This window comes from Homo sapiens, chromosome 6 (genome assembly GCF_000001405.40).
Source record: "Homo sapiens chromosome 6, GRCh38.p14 Primary Assembly".
Lineage (NCBI taxonomy): Eukaryota > Metazoa > Chordata > Mammalia > Primates > Hominidae > Homo > Homo sapiens.
The window spans coordinates 53196514-53218023 of NC_000006.12; the positions used below are offsets into that span (position 1 = coordinate 53196514).

Here is a 21510-nt window from a genome sequence, read left to right on the forward strand (position 1 = left end):
TAATTTTTGTATTTTTAGTAGAGATGGCTTTTCACCATTTCGGTCAGGCTGGTCTTGAACTCCTGACCTCGTTATCTGCGCACCTTGGCCTCCCAAAGTGCTGGGATTACAGGCGTGAGCCACTGCACCCAGCCTCACGTTACATTTTCATAGCTAGCAGGGTAATGGTGGAGTTATTGGCACTCAGGTCACATTCTAGGGAATGTTTATTGGGCAATCTCAATGGCACCGCAAGCTAAATGACTTCCAGTGTTTCTCGTCTTTGTGCTTTCTTCATTGCAACCTTTGCCCAAGACATCTGTTTCTTCTGGATCACCCTTGTACAGCCACTGATGGAATGATCTTCTGAAAGTGAATCTTCAGTAGACACATTGGCCACACCATCTTTGCCAGCCATCACATTGCCCAGGTCTCCGACATGCCTCTCTTGATCCTTTGGGCCACCGTGTTTTTTGGTTAGAGGATTAAAGTGCAGATCAGCCTTGTTTATTAGCTCCAAACTGATGGACGTGGAATCTATGCTGAACTTTAGTCAATCCTATAATGCGTCCCGATACCACAGCTCGCCCATTTTCCTTCTGTTTAAAGTGGATGGTGCCAGCACGAGGCCTTAGGCCTCCAACATGCACACGGCCCTTGTTGTCATGGCTTTTGTGGGGTATGCTCTGGTCCAGGCTCTGAAGGCTGTGACGGAATTTTGGCTTAACTTAAAAAAAATACTTTATTTATTTATTTATTTATTTAGAGATGGACTTTCACTCTGTTGCCCAGGCTGGAGTGCAGTGGTGTGATCTCAGCTCACTGCAACCTCTGCCTCCTGGGTTCAAGCCATTCTCCTGCCTCAGCTTCCCAAGTAGCTGGGATTACAGGCACCCCCCCTACCACGTCTGGCTAATTTTTTTGTATTTTTAGTAGAGACAATGTTTCACCATGTTGGTCAGGCTGGTTTCAAACTCCTGACCTCAAGTGATTTGCCCACCTTGGCCTCCCAAAGTGCTAGGATTACAGGTGTGAGCCACCGTACCTGGCTAAAAATCAACTTTAAATTATAAAATAATGTAAGCAATTTACAGAAAGTTTGGGAAAGAGAGAAAGAGAAGGAAGGAAGGAAGGAAGGAAAAGAAGGGAAGGAGGGAAGGAATGAGGGAGGGAGAGAGGGAGCGAGGGAAGGATGGAAGAAAGGAAGGGAGGAAGGTTTGTTACATGGGTATATCACGTGATGCTGAAGTCTGGGATACTAAAGGAAGGAAGGAGGGAGGGAAGGAAGGAAGGGAAGGAAGGAAGAAAGGAAGGAAGGAAAGAAAGAAGGAGGGAAAGAAGCAGAGATGGAGGGAAGGAAGAAAGGAGGGAAGGAAGGAAGGAAGGCAGGCAGGAAGGAAGGAAGCCATACACCTTCCATACATTCATATCATCTATGATCCTATTCACATTCGAGGAGAGTTCACTGGGAAGGGTCTTTAAAAGTAAGGCCCCTGGGATATAAGAGGCATGGCAGGTATATCTTATAGGGTAAGAGGGAATAAAACTAGGAGAGAGACATCCTGGAACAGGTCTGCATTGGAAGACGGGAGGAGGAGAGAGAAGTGTAGGAAGGTTGTGATAAGAGGAAAAGAGAGACTGGGGAGGCAGATGAGAGATTGTTAAGGGCACCATTCCCTAAATTAGCCAAACACAGTCATGTCTGGGTGATCCTGGAAGGAATTATTTGAAGAAACATCTGTCATCTAAGTGCCTAATGGCCAGATATGATCTTTCATTTTCAAGGACCAGGGACACTTTCTGGGGAAGATGAGGACTAACCACAATTCATAAGTGGGCAACAGAAATGCTGATTTATGAACTTCCAGTGGAAAACGTAACTCTCAGGTTAAGGCATCATTAGATATCATGCTGCGGTCAATGCCTTCGAAGTCACATCTTAAGCAGAATAATTATTTGTTGGCCTCCTGCAAGAATCCACCCTATACAGGGACCAAAAGTTTTCATAAGTTGCAAATCTCTCCCAATAGATGAAATTAAAATAGAGTTTGAAAGCTCCTCAGTAAATGTAGTATCAGAACACAGAGTTAGAATGTATTGAACATCTATGATGTGGCTAGGCATGGTGGCTCACGTCTGTAATCTCAGCACTTTGGAAGGCTGAGGTGGGTGGATCACCTGAGGTACGGAGTTCAAGACCAGCCTGGCCAACTTAGTGAAACCCCATCTTTACTAAAAATACAAAAATTAACTGGGTGTGGTGGAGCACCCCTATAATCCTAGCTACTCGGGAGTCTGAGGCACGAGAATTGCTTGAACCAGGGAGGCAGAGGTTGCAGTGAGTGGAGATCACACCATTGCACTCCAGCCTGGGCGACAAAGTGAGACTCTGACTCAAAAAAATAAAATAAAATAAAATAAAAAATAATAAAATAATAATATATTGAACATCTACAATGTGTCAGGCATTGTAGAAACTAATTATAATGTGGTAAAAGATGGACAAAGTCAAGTACTTGCAATCTAACCGAAGACAATAAAATAGATGAATAAATAAGACTATTTCAAATTTTCAAATAGACATGACTTCTATAAAAACAGAATGTTGAATAGGACGAGGAGAGAGTCAGAGAAATTGTGTGTATGCTTGTGTGTGTTTTGCGCGCACCTGTGTTATTTCTTTCAATTGGGTGATCAATGAAGGCTTCTTTAAGGAGGTGAAATTTGAGTTAAGACCTGAAGAATCAAAAAGATCCAGAAAAAGGTCTGATGGGTGTGGCAGGAAGCATTCAAAGTACTGGGCAGTGCGGAAGCAGAGGCAGATGGAAGTGAGAGTTTGAGAGGAACTGAGAGAAGGCCTGTGGGTTGGAGGGTAAGAATGCAGGGGAGAGGGAGACTACAGTTAAATGTTTAACGGAAGGCATTCAGCACGACATTAGACTCTTTCAGTTCAAATCCCCACCCAACCACAAACTAGTTGTGTGACCTTGGACAAGCTAGTTAACTTCTTTATGGATCGATTGCTTCATCTGTAAAGGGGTGAAATCAGAGGTAACTACTTCATGGAGCTCCTCTGAAGATGACGTGAGATAGTCTAAGTTAAAGTGCGGAGCTTAGGCATATGGTTGGTCCTGAATAAGCATTAGATGTTGGCATTAATGTGTCCATCTCCACAACAGACTCTTGTCCACTGAGTAGGATTCCCTCCCCGCAGAAACGTACTTGGATGGGTGCTGCCAGTTTAGCGTCTTCGACTACTTAGTCAAACTTGAGACGTGTCAGAGGTCTGCAAACTATAGCTCCCTGGGCAATTCTGTAAACCTTCAAGTTAAGAAAAATGATTACATATGTAAAGGGTTGGAAAAAATCAAAATAAGAATACATGTATTTTCTGCTTTTATTTAAGGTGCAGGGTGTACATGTGCAGGTTTGTTATGTGGGTATATCACGTGATGCTGAAGTTTGGGATACAAATGGTCCCATCACCCAGGTAGTGAGCATAGCACCCAATAGGTAGTTATTCACCCCATGCCCCCCTCCCTCCCCCTTTCTTCTAATAGTCCCCATTGTCTATTGTTCCCATCTTTGAATATGTGTACCTATAAGTGAGAACATGTGGTATTTGGTTTTCTGTTCCTGCATTAATTTGCTTAGGATAATGGTCTCCAGCTACATTCACGTTGCTGCAAAGGACACAGTTTCATTCTTTTTATGGCTGTGTAATATTCCGTGGTGTATATGTATCACACAAAATCAGAATATTTTGTGTGTGTGACACAAGAAAAATTTATGGAACTCAAACTTCAGTGTCTATAAAGTTTTATCAGAACACAGCCACAGCCTTCACTTATGTCTGTGTATGGCTTCTTTCTTGCTCCAACAGCAGAGGTGGGAAGTTTCAGCAAAGATCTCATGACCGACAAAACCTAACGTATTTACCATCCGACGCTTTACAGAGAAAGTTTGCCATCGTAGTTAGGAGGACAGGTTTTTGGAGACAATGGAGTTACCTGGAGCCTGAATTTTCTTCTAAGAAAATGAGTGTAATAACAACGCCCTCAACAGGTTGCTATGCGAATTAAGAACATTTGTCCCGGCCGGGCGCGGTGGCTCACGCCTGTAATCCTAGCACTTTGGAAGGCTGAGGCGGGCGGATCATGAGGTCAGGAGATTGAGACCATCCTGGCTAACACGATGAAACCCTGTCTCTACTAAAAATACAAAAAATTAGCTGGGTGTGGTGGCGGGCACCTGTAGTCCCAGCTACTTGGGAGGCTGAGGCAGGAGAATGGCATGAACCTGGGAGGCGGAGCTTGCAGTGAGCAGAGATCGTACCACTGCACTCCAGCCTGGGCGACAGAGAGACTCCATCTCAAAAAAAACAAAACAAAACAAAACAAAAAAAGAACATTTGTCCCACAATCTGAATTCAACAAATAGTACCCATTGTTTTGTTGTTGTTGTTGTTGCTGTTTGTGTGTTTTTTGAGACAGTCTCTGTTGCCCAGGCTGGCCTGCAGTGCTGTGATCTCAGCTCACTGCAACCTCCACCTCCCCGGTTCAAGCTCAAGTGATTCTCCTGCCTCAGCCTCCTAAGTAGCTGGTATTACAGGCGTGTGCTAACACCCAGCTAACTTTTGTATTTTTAGTAGAGACAGGGTTTTGCCACGTTGGCCAGGCTGGTCTCAAACTCTTGGCCTCAAGTGATTTGCCTGCCTTGGCCTCTCAATGTGCTTGGATTACAGGTGTGAGCCCTCGCACCTGGCGTAGTACCTGTTGTTTTGAAAATGAAGAAGACAGTGATGATGATAATCCTATTTCCCTACCTGACAGTCCACTGTCTGGTTGATAGCTTTCATTTTTATGTAGATTTTTCCTATGGAAATGTTGAGGCTTAGAAAGTGATACCTCAAAATAAGACCTCAAAAGCAGCCTGAAGCAAAAGTTTCTCTCTGACCTTCTCCTGCCCTGCTGTCTCTGGCCCTTCATTCTCCCCTGAGGCCAGCCATAGAAACTAGAATCCCTCTTCCCCAAGGCCATAGAAACCAGAACTTCTTTTCCCCCAAACCAGCCACAAAACCTAAAAATACTACTCTAACTTTCCTCCTGCCCCTTCTGTATAAGAACTGACTATAAAGAAATTATCTGACCCACCTTACATGTTTGTAGGTCATAAGACCCCCATTCCAGAGAGGGTCCTGCCCCACACCCAGAAGGAAGGAATGCTGCTCAGAGAGGCCAAGAGGAATCTAAACAGAAGGGCTTTGCTGGGTTTCCCCGCTCAGCCTGTTAGCTTTAGAGCACGCCCTTTTTCTCCAGTTATATTTCCACAAGGCTGTTGATACTTTGTTGAACCTAACCATAAGAATGAACAGTTTCCCTTGTATCTTTGTGCCTTCATTCTGAAGGGTCTTGTGTCATATAAAAGTATGAAAAAGTAAATTTGTATGCCTTCTCGCCTATTAATCTGCCTTTAAAAAAACAGAGATGGGGGTCTCCCTATGTCGCCCCGGTTGGAGTGTGCTGGCTATTCACAGGCATGATCACAGTGCATTACAGCCTCATACTCCTGGCCCCAAGGGATCCTCCCTCCTCAACCTCCTGAGTAGTTGGGACTACAGGTGCATACCACTGTACCTGGCTGTAATCTGCCTTTTGCCAGTTGATTTTCAGTGAACCTTCAGAGGGTGAAGGGGGAGCTTTCCCTTGCCCTACGGGAACATAATCTTTCCAATCTGGAAGCCAGTCTTTTTTTTCAGCTCACTTTGCATATATGTATGCATACTACTAGCTTAACTCCACAAGGGCAATATTTTCCCTTCACTTATAAGTTCCTTTTTTCATTGTATTCATTTTTCAAGAGTCACTGCCACCCAAGAAGAATCCTCCTGGTGCTAAAAAACCTTTCCAGTTCCATTGTTCATTGTAAATTTCTACAAGGATGGACATATTCTATATTTGCATGTTCTATATATTTCATTTTTCTTTTCTTTTTTTTTTTTTTTGAGATGGAGTTTCACTCTTGTTGCCCAGGCTGGAGTGCAATGGCAAGATCTCGGCTCACCACAACCTCCACTTCCTGGGTTCAAGTGATTCTTCTGTCTCAGCCTCCTGAGTAGCTGGGATTACAGGTACGTGCCACCACACCCAGCTAACTTTTGTATTTTTAGTAGAGATGGGGTTTCACCACATTGGCCAGTCTGGTCTTGAACTCCTTACTACAGGTGATCCACCTGTGTTGGCCTCCCAAAGTGTTGGGATTACAGGCATGAACCACCGTGCCCAGCCTTGTTTTTTATATATATATAATTTTTTTGAGTCAGAGTCTTGTTCTGTTGCCCAGGCTGGAGTGCAATGGCGCAATCTCAGCTCACTGCAACCTCTGCCTCTCGGGTTCAAGTGATTCTCCTGCCTCAGCCTCCTAAGTAGCTGGGATTACAGGCGCCTGCCACCATGCCTGGCTAATTTTTGTATTTTGAGTAGAGATGGGGTTTCACCATCTTGGCCAGGCTGGTCTTGAACTCCTGACCTTGTGATCAACCCACCTCGGCCTCCCAAACTGCTGGGATTACAGGTGTGAGCCACTGCGCCTGGCCTTGTTCTATATATTTCTATATTTGCACGGTCCAATACCATGGGCCCTGGTCATATGTGACCACTGAGTACTTGAAATGTGGCTCGTTCAACCAAGGAAGTTTAATTATTAAATAAGTTTGGTTAATTTAAATGTAAATAGCCATGTGCAGCTAGTGACCACTATATTGGACAGGTCAGTCCTATATGATTAGGTTACTTGAGTGCTTATGAAAATTAATATACATAATATACACTAATATACATAAGCTGTCTTCAGAGTTATTGTGCAATTAATCATGTTTATACAAGGATGACAGCTGTTGAAAAGGCAGCTCAGTAAGCCTTTCTAGAGATGTGCTACTTAAAAATCTTGTTTTGGGATTAAGATAGTAAAAGATCCATTTCATTTCTCTTCAATGATGCAACATCATTTTATTTTAAATCCAATGATTCCTGAAACATAAATACCCAAACATAACTCAATCAACTCTTCTCTCCTTCTTGGATTTGTACAGATTTGAAGAGCCCTTTGAACTAGCCACACAGGCACTTTGGGCCTTGACATCACTTACATCATCACCGGACTCCAGGTTCTCAGGCATGGCTTTACTCTGCCCTTCCCCACAGTGCCTGGCAGACAGCAGGTGTTCCCTTAAGAAAGCAGGAAGTGTGAAGAAAACAAACGGCTTGTTTTACAGAGCTCTGAATTTATTCAAAGTATTAAAAGATTTTGCTCTACCCTCCAAAATATTTTACAATTAATAATAATCAAAACTAGGCCAGGCACGGTGGCTCACACCTGTAATCCCAGCACTTTTGGAGGCTGAGGTGGGTGGCTCACCTGAGGTCAGGAGTTGGAGACCAGCCTGACCAACATGGTGAAACCCTGTCTCTACTAAAAAATACAAAAATTAGCCGGGCGTGGTGGCGGGTGCCTGTAATCCCAGCTACTTGGGAGGCTGAGACAGGAGAATTGCTGGAACCCAGGAGGCAGAGGTTGCAATGAGCCGAGATCACGCCATTGCACTCCAGCCTGGGTGATAGAGCAAGACTTTGTCTCAAAATAAAATACAATAGTAAAATAAAATAATCAAAACTGTTGTGTATTTTGTCAGCCACTGTATGAGTTGCCACTTCCTTTTCTCACTCAGCACCAGCCCCTGCCTCTCCAACTCTTTCCCCCGTCTCTCTGCTCTCAGTATTGCTATAAGATTGTTTATAAAACCCTCCTCTTCTCTCTCCGCAAGCCCTGCCCAGAGTGGCTTCTCCTCTAGTTCTAGGCCCAGGGCTGCAGGTGAGGCTGACTGGTGAGATGGATGCCTGAGGGGCAGAGAATGCTTTGACTTCTGGGGGATCGGCTCACTAGCTTTTTTATTGGTTGAGTGGAGAATTATTGTCCTTTTTGTCCTATGGACACCTGCCCAGAGTCAAATATTTGGTTTGGGGTTTTTGGTACTCAGAAAATGATACCCCAAAATATGGAACTAAAGAGGAAGCCTCAGGCTGGGCTTCGTGTCTCCTGCATGTAATCCCAGCACTTTGGGAGGCTGAAACAGGAGGATCACTTTAGGCCAGGAGTTAGAGACCAGCCTGGGCAACATAGTGAGACCCTATATCTACTATTAAAAGAATAAAAAGGCCGGGCGTGGTGGCTCCACGCCTGTGATCCCAGCACTTTGGGAGGCCGAGGCGGGTGGATCACGAGGTCAGGAGACCGAGACCATCCTGGCTAACACGGTGAAACCCGGTCTCTACTAAAAATACAAAAAATTAGCTGGGCGCAGTGGCGGGCGCCTGTAGTCCTAGTTACTCGGGAGGCTGAGGCAGAAGAATGGCGTGAGCACGGGAGGCGGAGCTTGCAGTGAGCCGAGATCGCACCACTGCAACCCGGCCTGGGTGGAAGAGCGAGACTCCGTCTCAAAAAAAAAAAAAGAATAAAAAAAGAAGCAGCCTCAACGTCTCTCTGACCTGCCCCCTTCCTATCTCTCTGATCTTCTGTCTCTCCTCCTAAAGTGCAGGATGAGACCATTCTCTGAAGTTCCCTTATCGTAGAAATTGGGCCCCTGAAGAGGAACATAATTATCTTCAATCCCTTCCCTGAAATTTCTTTTTCCTTTGTTCTTTTTGTTCTTTTTTTTTTTTTTTTTTTTTTTTCGAGACAGGGTCTTTCTCTGACACCCAGGCTAGAGTGCAGTGCTGTGATCACTGCCCACTGCAGCCCCAGCCTCCCAGGCTCAAGTAATCCTCTCACCTTAGCCTCCTGAGTAGCTGGTACTATGGGCACATGCCACCACATCTGGCTAATTTTTAAATTTTTTGTAGAGGCAGGGTTTCACCATGTTCCCCAGGCTGGTCTCAAACTCCTGAGCTCAAGCGATCTGCCCACCTCAGCCTCCCAAAGTGCTGGGATTTCAGGTTTGAGCCACTGTACCCGGTTTGAAATTTCATTAATCAGAGAAGATTAAAACTCATATCACAGAGGAAGAGACTGTGCCAAACCTAGAGCCCAGAAAAATTGTCCTAAACCATTGTTTGTTCTCCAGTCCTGTTCAATCCCCAAAGAAAACTATTTACTCACCATTCTCGGAGCACTGGGTCCATTCTTTCCCCCTGAAAATCATTTTCTCCTGCACCTCCCATCTCCCCTTCCCCTATGAAGAAGGGCCTATAAGCACCTGCACCCTGTTGGGTCACTGGGCAATCATTCTCTTGTGATTCCCCCATGCTATGCATGCTAAAATAAATTTTGCATGCATTTTTCTCTTACTAATCTGCCTTTTCAGCAAACCTTCAGAGGATGAAGTAGGGGCTTTTTCTCTTTTTCACTACAGGGTTGCTCTGCCTCTTCTCTGGTTTCCCTAGGCATGGGTTCATGACAGCTGAGTCTGATGACTGTACCAAGTATCTGCTTGTGGATGTTAGGGACAGCACAAATGGCACATGACTAGAGTGCAGCTTGATCGAGCCCCAGCTCCTCAGAGCATGGACAACAAACCCCCAGGGGTGAAGTAAACTTTTTTTTTTGAGTTGGAGTTGACTCACTCTGCTGCCCAGGCTGGAGTGCAGTGGAGTTATCTTGGCTCTGGTCTCGAACTACTGACCTCAAGTGATCTGCTCGCCTCGATCTCCCAATGTGCTGGGATTACAGGCGTGAGACACTGTGCCCAGCCATATTTTGATTTTTTGATAGGCAAAGCCAGAATCAGTCAGGGCCATGAAAGACAGGGACATGGGAGGAAAGGTCTAACCACTTAGCTCTGGGGTGAGCAATGCCCCTTCTGACATCCCCTCTTTCATCCCCTACTTCATCCTACAGGTCCCAGGATGATTCCAGAAAGGAGGAAGACAAAGAAGAAAAGGATTCTGTCATGCTGATGGGAAAAAGACAAATGGCAGAGTGCTCAGGGCTAGGAGAGGCCTGCTAGAATTTGTAGCTGTCACTGCTTCCCTGTTCTGTGTGGAAGGGTCCTGGGGCCATGAACCGGTCGCTCAGAGGCTTCATCAGCTCCACTCCTTGCCCTTGACTAATAGAGGACCACATGGTTCTCCAGCTCTTTGCCTGTCATCTCCACCAAGCTCCAGGCATCCTCATCCCGCTCTAAGCCCGGCTGGTAGTTGCTGTCCATGTCCCAGGCAAAAACACGTCCATCACTGATCACAGTTTACCCTACAGAGGCCCAAAGCCACTGAGGAGACTGAGAAGATGGCACCAGCCTGGAGATGAGGGTGGGCATGTTCTTCTCCTTAGCACCCATGAAGGCCCACCGTCTATATTCAGCCTGGCCCAGGCTGCATGCTTTTCCTTCTGAATCCCCGAAGACTGTATGGTGCTGGCCACCAGAGAAGCCTACCTGGACTTGGTAGAGTTCTTTTTTTTTTCTTTTTTTTTTTTTTTTAGACGCAATCTTGCTCTGTCACCCAAGCTGGAGTGCAGTGGCATGGTCTCGGGTCACTGCAAGCTCCGTCTCCCTGGTTAACGCCATTCTCCTGCCTCAGCCTCCCAAGTAGCTGGGACTACAGGTGCCCACCACCACGCCCAGGTAATTTTTTTTGTATTTTTAGTAGAGACGGGGTTTCACCTTGTTAGCCAGGATGGTCTCAATCTCCTGACCTTGTGATCCGCCCGCCTCAGCCTCCCAAAGTGCTGAGATTACAGGCGTGAGCCACTGCGCCTGGCCTGGACTTGGTAGAGTTCTTGAAGGATCCCAGGTTCTGGGGTATGAAGCAAGATTCTGTGCCTGGGGTTCCAAGCTGATGGTTGTTGAAGAGGCCAAAGCCATATTCTGTGTATGTGCCCTTTATAGGGGATGGAATGGTGAGGCAGGTGCTACAGAAGGGCATCAGGTCCCAGCTTCCCCTGAATTTCAGCATCATATCTGGGGGACCAGGAATCATGCCCTGTCGGCCATCACGGTTGGCACATAATTCAAGCACAAGGCCCAGATGGCCTTGCTCCCACAGCACAAGGTATCTAGGTCACTGTCAGCTGTCAGCATCACCAAGTGGCCATTTCCTGAGGCCAACTTCACCGTGGGCATGTCCAGCTGCACTTGCACAATCATCATGCTCTTCTTCATGGGATCTAACAGCCTGATCACACTGTAATTGTTCTGGAAGCAGCCTCAGAGGAAGACATGGCCATCTTCTGTGAGGACCACTATATGACTGTCTCCTGCTGACACCTGTATCAACTTCTCTTGCAGTTCCACTTTTCCGGGGACCATCTCTGAGACCTCCACTGATGCGTCCCTTCCCACGGCACCCTCCTCATTGCAGCCGAAGCACTAGACCTGGCCATTTTGCTTAGACATAATATGGTGTGCCTGTCCCCAGCCTCAGCCTACACAGCATCCTCTTGAACCAGCACCAGCGCTGGCTACTTTTTCTTTTGAATGTTTATTATGCAAATTGGGTCATTCTTGTGATACCCAACTAAATCAAAGTAGAAAGGACAGGTTGGAAAAGCATCAGGGCACATAGCACTGATCCAATAACTGAATTCTCCACAAGCCCAGCTGCTGCAATGGCCTGCTATAGGTAAGATCAGTTTTACCCAGTAGCTGCTGAAATGCCCTGCTGTGACTCTACGACTAGCTTTACCGACTACTGTCACTCACCAATCGGAGCTTGCCAGCTCCCAAAATCTTCTCCAGTGCCAACGAGCTTTCTTTCAAAACCATATGTAATATTTCCCTTTCTAATAAAACTCCTAACCTTCTCTTTGTCCTTCGGACACACTGAAGACCACCCCATCTGTGTGTGTGCACCAAATTGCAATTCTGTGATTCCTAAGGAGAAATATTACATTTAGAGATTTGTCTTTATATTTTTATTTTGACTTTGACGCTCCCTGTCACACTCTCACCCAGCTCCAGTGAGCCTACATTGCCCTGGCCCACTGTCAGCACCAAGCCTGGTTCAGTTTTATGGGACCTCTGTGAGACTGAGGGATGAAGAAGGTGGCCCCGTCAGGTTTTCTGGTCAGGAGGGCTCAGCTGTGGGGGGAGCTAAAAGCATGGCAAGGAGGCAGTGGATCTCACTGTCTGGGTACAAGTGTCCTTCACCTTCTTGCTTTTGGGGATGAAATCTTCTGGGAGTGATCTTCTCTTAGTTATGTACTTGGGTGAAATATTCCTGTCCTCAGCACAGGTTGACCTCAAGGAACACCAGTGCTCACCAGCAGGGCCACCAAATACCCAGAACACATCCTCTGCAGGCCTCGTCCCAACGCTGGATGAGATGAGAAAGGGCATTTATAAGTTCTTAAATGTTTTCTTTTCTTTCTTTCTTTCTTTCTTTCTTTTTTTTTTTTTTTTTGAGAGGGAGTCTCATTCTATTGCCCAGGCTGGACTGAAGTGCCGCGATCTTGTCTCACTGCAACCTCTGCCTCCCAGGTTCAAGCAATTCTCCTGTCTCAGCCTCCCTAGTAGCTGGGACTACAGGTACCTGCCACCATACCTGGCTAATTTTTGTATTTTTAGTAGAGATGGGATTTCACCTTGCTGGTCAGGCTGGTCTAAAACTCCTGACCTCAGGTGATCCACCTCCCTCAGCCTCCCAAAGTGCTGGGATAATAGGAGTGAGCCACCGCGCCTGGCCTCTTTTCTTTTTTTTTTTTTTTTTTGAGACAGAGTCTCGCTCTGTCACCCAGGCTGGAGTGCAGTGGTGCGATCTTGGCTCACTGCAAGCTCTGCCTCCTGGGTTCACGCCATTCTCCTGCCACAGCCTCCCAAGTAGCTGGGACTACAGGTGCCTGCCCCAACTCCTGGCTAATTTTTTTTTGTATTTTTAGTAGAGTCGGGGTTTCACCATGTTAGTCAGGATGGTCTCGATCTCCTGACCTTGTGATCCACCCACCTCGGCCTCCCAACGTGCTGGGATTATAGGTGTGAGCCACCATGCCTGGCCCTTTTCTTTTTCTTTTTTTTTAAATTGAGACAGGGTCTTGCTCTGTCACCCAGGAGAGAGTGCAGTGGCACGAACATGGCTCACTGCAGCCTCAATCTCCCTGGCTCAAGCAATCCTCCCACCTCAGCCTCCTGAGTAGCTGGAACTACAGACATACACCACCACACTTGGCTAATTTTTGTATTTTTTGTAAAGATGGGGTTTTACCATGTTGCACAGGCTGGTCTTGGACTCCTGGGCTCAAAGGATCCTCCTGCCTCAGCCTCCTAAAGTGCTGGGATCACAAGTGGGAGCCACTGTGCCCAGTTCTTAAAGGTTTTCCTACTTAAGCTTTCCAAGTCTTAAAAATGCCTGTGACTACTGAGTACTCTCCCTCTCCTATCCATGCCCAGCTTGGCAAAAGTTAGTTCTACTTAAATAAACACATTTACACTGTTACAGTTTCTTTTTATTTGCTTTTTGAACAAGTTTGGATTGTTGTATGCTATCTGGAGACAACCTGGCAATATATATCATCAGGGGTCAAATGTTCTCCTAAATTCACTGCCTTCTTTTTCCTTTTATTCTTTTCTTAAAGTTAAATTTCTTTTTATTTTTTAAAATTAATTTTTCTAGAGACAGGGTCTCACTGTGTTGCCCTCTTCCCTGACAAGAGGTATCAATAAACAAAGTAGATACAAATCCCTGTCCTCAAGGAGCTTACATTCTAATGCCTCTAAGGGTAACATATATAAGGTCAAGCCTCTCATATGACACCTCATGCTAGTAAGGTTTTGAATTTATAAACGTTTGACTGCAGAATGCACTGAAACGTAGGGAGAGCTTGAAAGCTTCTTAGGGGTGTTTAGTGCAAACTAGATACCAATGTGAACCACAAGAAATATTGAAGTGGAAGCTGTTACTTTGTGTATAACACGCTATTTTCACCATAAGTGTTTTCTAGAGTTTAAGTTTTTGTTTTTTTTTAAAGCATCTTTACGATGATATTATAGGAAGTATATGAGAACAATAGGAATGGCCACCTCTATCCACTGCCCACACACCTCAATCCAATGTGGTTTTTTTGTTTTTGTTTTTTTTTGAGACAGAGTCTCGCTCTGTGCCCAGGCTGCAGTGCAGTGGTGCAATCTCAGCTCACTGCAACCTCTGCCTCCTGGGCTGAAGCTATTCTCCTGCCTTAGCCTCCTAAGTAGCTGTAACTACAGGTACACGCCACCATGCCTGGCTACTTTTTGTATTTTTAGTGGAGATGGGGTTTCACCATGTTGGCCAAGCTGGTCTTGAATTCCTGACCTCAGGTGATCTGCCCACCTCTGCCTCCCAAAGTGCTGGGATTATAAGCATGAGCCACGGCGCTCGGCCTCAATCCAATTTGGAATCAGGGAAATAGGACTTACTGCCCTGAAGAGTCAAACTCTGTACTGAATAAGGGAGATATGAAAAGTCAGTAGATGCTGCTAAGTAGGCTTTTTAATTGCATGGACACAACTAAAGAATGAATGTGTGAATCAGAAGGAAAGGGACTTTGATCAGCAATGGCAGTGAGGGAAAGAAAAGTGAAAGAAGTAAATGTTTGCTGTTCAGTGGAAGGAGAGGTGCCAGGCACAGTTTCAATCCTCAAGGCAGGTGTTGCCAAGGAAGTTTTAGAACATCCTTTGTGGATTGGCTTTTGGAAATGGTTCAGTACCGAAAAATATTTGCTGCTATTGAAAGATAAACTTAGGTACATTAAAATTTTAGAGAGTTTAGAGTATAAAGTTATAGTTAGTAGGAGGAAGAACAAGTTCTGGGTTCTATTGCACAGTAGGGTGACTACAGTCAATGACAATATACTTCAAAATAGTTGGAAGATGGTCAGGTGCAGTGGCTCACACTTGAAATCCCAGCACTTTGGGAGGTCGAGGTGAGCAGATCACTTGAGGTCAGGAGTTCGAGACCAGCCTGGCCAACATGGTGAAACCTGTCTCTACTAAAAATACAAACATTAGCTGGGTGTGGTGGCACATGTCTGTAGTCCCAGCTACTCAGGAGGCTGAGACAGGAGAATCACTTGAGTAGCTGGGACTACAGACAGGGTTTCACCATGTTGGCCAGGCTGGTCTCAAACTCCTGGCCTCAAATGATCCACCCTCCTTGGCCTCCCAAAGTGCTGGGATTACAGGTGTGAGTTATAGTGCCTAGCCAGCTATTTTAAAATATACAAAAAAGTATTATTGACTATAGTTACCCTGCTGTGCTATCAAATACTAGATCTTATTAATTCTATCTATTATTTTGTACCCATTAATCATCCCCACTTTATCCACTCTTCTCCCCACTACTCTTCCCCGCCTCCAGTAACCATTATTCTACTGTCTCACTCAATGAGTTTGTTTTAATTTTTAACTCCCACATATGTAAAATTTGTCTTTGTGTGCCTGGTTTACTTCACTTAACATGTTGTTGCAAATTACAGGATCTCTTTTTTATGGCTGAATAATATTTCATTGTGTATATGTACCACATTTTTTTTATCCATTCATCCGCTCATGGACACTGAGGCTGATTCATGGGAGTGCAGGTATCTCTTTGATATACTGTTTTTTTTCCTTTGGGATATATACCTAGCAGTGGGATTGCTGGGTCATATGGTAGCTCCATCTTCAGTTTTTTGAGGAAGCTTCTTACTGTCCTCCACAGTGGCTGTCCTAATTTCCATTCCCACCAACAGTGTACAAGGGTTCCCTTTTCTCCACATCCTCACCAGCATTTATTATTGCCTGCCTTTTGGATAAAAGCTGTTTTAACTGAAGTGAGATGATACCTCATTGTAGTTTTGACTTGCATTTCTCTGATGATAAATGATGAGCATTTTTTATATACCCACTGACTATTTGTAATGTCTTTTGAGAAAGGTCTATTCAGATCTTTTGCTCATTTTAAAATAAGATTATTAGATTTTTTCTATTGAGTTGTCTGAGCTCCTTATATATTTTGGTTATTAATCCTTTGTCAGACGTGTAGTTTGCAAATATTTTCTCTCATTTGGTGGGTTGTTTAGAAGAGAAGGTTTTGAATATTCTCACTGCAAATGAATGACAAGTGTTTGAAGTAATGAATATGTTATTTATCCTGATTTGATCATTACACAATGTATATATGTATCAAAACATTGCACTGTATCCTATAAATATGTACAATAAAGTGCCAATTAAAAACAAAATAAAACTTCTTTTTTTTTTTTGAGACAGAGTTTCGCTCTTGTCGCCCAGGCTGGAGTGCAATGGTGCAATCTTGGCTCACTGCAGCCTCCGCCTCCTGGGTTCAAGCAATTCTCCTGCCTCAGCCTCGCAAATAGCTGGGATTATAGGTGCCCAACACCATGTCTAGTTAATTTTTGTATTTTTAGTGGAGATGGGTTTCACCATGTTGGCCAGGTTGGTCTCGAACTCCTGACCTCAAGTGATCTGCCCACCTTAGCCTCCCAAAGTGCTGGGATTACAGGTGTGAGCCACTGTGCCCAGCCAAAATAAAACTTGTTAAAATTGTTTTTTTTTTTATTTTTGAGACAGAATCTCGCTCTGTTGCCCAGGCTGGAGTGCAATGGCATGATCTTGGCTCACTGCAACCTCCACTCCCAGGTTCACGCCATTCTCCTGCCTCAGCCTCCCAAGTAGCTGGGACTACAGGCACCCACCACCATGCCCGGCTAATTTTTTTTGTATTTTTAGTAGAGACGGGGTTTCACTGTGTTAGCCAGGATGGTCTCAATCTCTTGACCTCGTGATCCACCCACCTCAGCCTCCCAAAGTGCTGGGATTACAGGCGTGAGCCACCGCGCCCAGCCCTAAAATTGTTTGAAGATTTTATTTGAGCAGATAGCAATGCATGAATTGGGTAGCACCAGATTGCATGTGGTTCAAAGGTGCCACCAAAGTGGGATCAGGGAGGAAGACTTTTATGAGGTGAAGGCAGAAGCAAGGCAGATAAAACATTTCATTGGCTGAAGTGAACAAGCCTTATTTGGATCATTCTGATGGAAAGTTCCTAAGCTAAAGGCTAGTTGGTAGTTTCTGATTGTTTAAGCTTAAGTTTCATTTTACTATTTATACTGAGCAGGATTTCAGTTTGTTTCTGTAGGAACCCAGGGTGCTGGAGCCACCTCAGTCTAATGGCCTCCAATTAATAGTTTTAACACCTCCTGTGTGAATATTCACCAAAATGTCCACCCACAGGGAAGGCTCTTAGTAATGAGGTTGAAAAGATGCCAGACACTGGATTCTAATCCAGATTCTACATTTACCAGCTGTGTGGTCTTGGGCAAATGGATTTAGTAACTCTGTGCTTATGCATCTAAAATGCAGACAATATTAATACCTTCTCATAAGGTGTTAGTGAGGATTATATGAGGAAATAAATACAAAGCCCTTAGAACAGCATCCAATACATGGTTAGTGCTATAAGTATTTGCTATTATTAATAGTAATGTATGTCAGGTACTGTTTAGTGGAGCTTACACTCTCACTGTGAGGGGATGTTGGGAGACAGCCAACAAACAATCGTAGTGATTAAATTGTATAGTATGTAAGACTATACATACTTGCATATGTAAAGTATGTAAGGGGACTGGTAAAGGTAAAGGAGACTGGAGTGAGAACTGCTCAGTTTCCCATCTACATTAACATTCTCTTATCACTGGGCTGTCTTCACTAACATAGCTTTTCTATTCTGTCTTCATCAATATAATTTTACTACTCCAGGAAACTCTTGCCCAAGAGATACAATTGCATGTAACCTTATCATTTCTTCCAGGAACTTCCCAAAATACCCACTTAAATGAATGGTTTGATCAAAGACTGTTGACTCATCTCAAATGCTGGTTCATCTCAAACCTTCACCTTGCTCTGTCTACCAACTCTAAATTATATCATAATTTTATGCAATCCTAAGCAAGCCCCCACAATGAAAGATCTGCCTTAAACCTGACTCAGATACCTCATAAACATCCCAACTTCACCCCCTGTGGGCTCCGAGACTATCAAGGTAGTGCACACTCTTTCTGTCTTATTGTAGTATGAATGTAGTCAGCTTTGTCTTATCAATAGGTTGTTTCTGTGATAGTTTTTGAAAGCCAGCATTTGACAGGGATACTTTGCAGTTTTAAATATAATCATCAAAGAAGGCCTTGACAGGGTTCAGGACATGCTACCCCAAAGTTTGACACTTTGGCATTTGAGAAAATAACAGAAGCAGAAAGGTCCCTCTGCCCTCCTCCCACTGTTCTCCCCTGAAACAGGCCATAGAAGAACTGTTTGATCTTCCTCTAAAGCAGGTCATAAGGCCCTCCATTCTAGAAAGGTCCTCCCTATACCCAGAGGAAATGAATGAAGACACAGAGAAAAATCTGATCAAATAGGCCTTGCTAAGTTCCTCCCAGTTAATTACCATATCCCTTTGCTCTCCAATCATATTTCTGCATGACCCTCTACAAAAATACAGTTTTCCCTGTTTCCCTAAGTCTTTATTTCTGAAGTCTCCCATGCCATGTTAAACTTACATTAAGTATATTTGTATGCTTCCCCTGTTGGTCTGCTTTTGTTATAGGGGTCTTTGTGATGGGAGAACTTTGTGATGGGTGAGAAAATGTTACTTTTTCTCCCTTACAGCCTCCTTAAGAATGTGGTATTTGGACAAAGACTCAAAGATAGTGAATTCACCCTAGGTATTTGTAGGGGAGGGTGTTCCAGGAAGAGAGAATAGCCAGAGCAAAGGCTCAAATGGGGCCAAGGCCTGTCTTGATTGTAGCAGAGTGAACAACGCAAGAGTCATGAGACATGAGGTCTGAGCTTCTGTGTGAGCCTGGATGTGTGTGTATGTGGAGAAGCTATTCATGTAGGGTCTTGCAGCCAAGAATATGTTTATATATGTTTCCCTAAAATTATGCCTGATAACAATTTTCTCTTTCAGGAGATTACTTAGATCCAAACCAACCTAGTTTTCATTTCTCTTGGCATTTTGTCCAGCTTCCTGCAAGCTGCAGCTCCTCAGAATTTCCCCACCACTACTACCTTATTTTCTTTGCACATTTAGCTCAGTCCTGTCTCCAAGAGCATCACAGCTCTGTCATTTGAAAAGCACTTAGTGAGTTTGGTGGAAAACTAGGAATTAATACTATCACAGAAGCTGAAAAGTAGTTTCAATACAAAGAAAATGGTTACAGTCAAGTCCCTTGTAGGGCTGTGTCAGGCAAGCATAGTGTCCTTTGGTTATAGAAGAACTAACAAGTTACTTTTCTATTTGACAGGAGCATTTCATTAACTTTAAAGAAACGAGGGCCTGTGGAGCAAAAGATAGAAACCAGCAAGCCATATTGTCTAGAATTAAATGGTTAAAACAGAGAAAATAACCACGAAATGAAAGAAGACTGGGCATCAATTGAAAAGACAGAAAGTCTAAAGGTTTTTTTAAATAGGTAACTTAAATGTATTTAAATATGGTTAAATATTACATATTAAATATGGAACAGAACAACACTGATGACTGACAGTTTGGCTGGTTCTAATAAAAAGATCTTAGTCTAGTTTAATAATTAAAATCTTATTTTGACTGATATGTTCATTACTGGTTCAGTGAAATTTTAAAAGGGTCACTTTCATCTCCAAATACGCTGACCTGGAACATATCTGATCTGGGTAATATAAGACTCATCCCAGAAAGTTCAATGGTAAGAAGGTTAAAAAAACATTCTAGCAATTAACTGTCAGAAAGTTTCACAAAGGCCTCTGGGCAGAAAATCTAATTATATCAGATAAAAATGCAATGCTATCAAGAAGAAAAAAACAATGTTGATGATATAGACTGAATATTTGTGTCCCACCAACGTTCATATGTTGAATTCTAATCCTCAATGTGATGGTACTAGGAGGTGGGGTCTTTGGGAGGTTATGAAGTCATGAGCAGAGTCCTCATGAATGAGATCCTTGTTCTTATTAAAGATACCCAAGAGAGATCCCTGCCCCTTCTGCCATGTGAGGACACAGCAAGAAGATGTTTATCTAGAAACCAGGAAGTGGGCCTCACCAGACACCGAATCTGCCAACGCCTTGATCTTAGACTTTCCATACTCCAGAAATAAATTTCTGTTGTTTAGAAGTCACTCAATCTATGGCACTCTGTTACAGCAGTCCACGCGGACTAAGACACTTGATATATCATATATATCATATCATATGTATCATATAATCTTTGGAAATATAACTAAAGAAATTCCTCTTGTTTCAAAAGAACAGAAAGCAGACAGGTGGTTTATAAATACTCTATAAAACACAAGAACACCATGAGGAAATGTGATACATCTTAGTAGGGGCCAAACATGGAGGTGGTCTCCTTGAGAAAATATCCCCTGCATGTTCCAGACAGACCGAATGGCCAACCCTGTGTCTCATGGGTGGCCCTCTGGAAGCACAGTCCACATTACACTGACATTACCTATTTATGTGCTTGTGTCCCTAGTCAGAGTGTAAAGTCAAGGTCAGAGCCTGTGTCTTACTCATTTCCCAGCATCTAGCCCAGTGCCTGACCCATGATAGGTATCCTGCAATGGGAGGGGAGCTGAAGTGAGTGATACTGACAGAGGTTAGTTAGGGGAGGTCTTGTACTTCTCTTGAATCTTTAACCTACCTTCTTATTGACCACAAATTAGAAGCATTTATGTAAAAAAGAAACTTCCAACAATTATATTCACGTTTTTCTTTCAGCTTGCTTATGGGCAAGTATTTCTAATGTAGAAACCTAAAAAATTTGAGGCATTCTAATACCTGTTAAACATACAACTACAGACCAAATGATTTGCTATATTTTTTTTTGCAGTCTAGTTGAGGTGTCTATATAATGAGCAGAATGGGCTCCCGAACACTGGACAGTAAAATAATTAAGAGCTGGTCTATGGTATGTATATATGTATGTATGTATTTATTCTGAGACAGAGTCTCGCTCTGTCACCCAGGGTGGACAGCAGTGGTGTGGTCTTGGCTCACTGCAACCTCCAACTCCCAGGTTCAAGTGATTTTCACACCTCAGCCTCCCGAGTAGCTGGGCCTACAGGTGTGCACCACCACATCCGGTTATTTTTGTAATTTTTGGTAGAGATAGGAGTTTCGCTATGTTGGGCAGGCTGGTCCCGAACTCCTGGCTGCAAGTGATCTGCCCACCTCAGCCTCCCAAGTGCTGGGATTAAGGCATGAGCCACTGCACCTGGCCTATGAGTCTTTATTGAGGGCCTGCTCTGTGCGGTTTTCAGTACTAGGTATAATATGACAAGATAAAGTCCCTGACCTTCATGAACTCACACTCCAGAAAATAAATGAATAAAATTTCAGATAATACGAGCTGTGAAGAGAAAAAGGAGTGACTTGAAGGAAGAGGTATGACAGGGAAAAACTCTTGAGGAGTTGATGTTTGGCTGCGACCCAAGTGAAGAGGAGGCAGCCACGTGATGACTCGCAGGAAGACCATTCTAAGAAGAAGGCCCAACAATTTTTTTTTTTTTTTGAGACGGAGTCTCGCTCTG

At 44.0% G+C, this 21510-nt stretch overlaps 1 pseudogene, besides 1 other annotated feature; it reads right to left on the reverse strand.

Moving 5' to 3' along the window:
• Positions 207–646, reverse strand: SOD1P1 (superoxide dismutase 1 pseudogene 1; annotated as a pseudogene).
• Positions 11152–11321: an enhancer, noted in NCBI's record as "experimental_92170 CRE fragment used in MPRA reporter constructs". NCBI's record gives its function as "activates a minimal promoter by MPRAs in K562 erythroleukemia cells, with activity observed for both the introgressed and non-introgressed 6:53072548 variant alleles {active_cell/tissue: K562}" and the evidence as "EXISTENCE:reporter gene assay evidence [ECO:0000049][PMID:34662402]".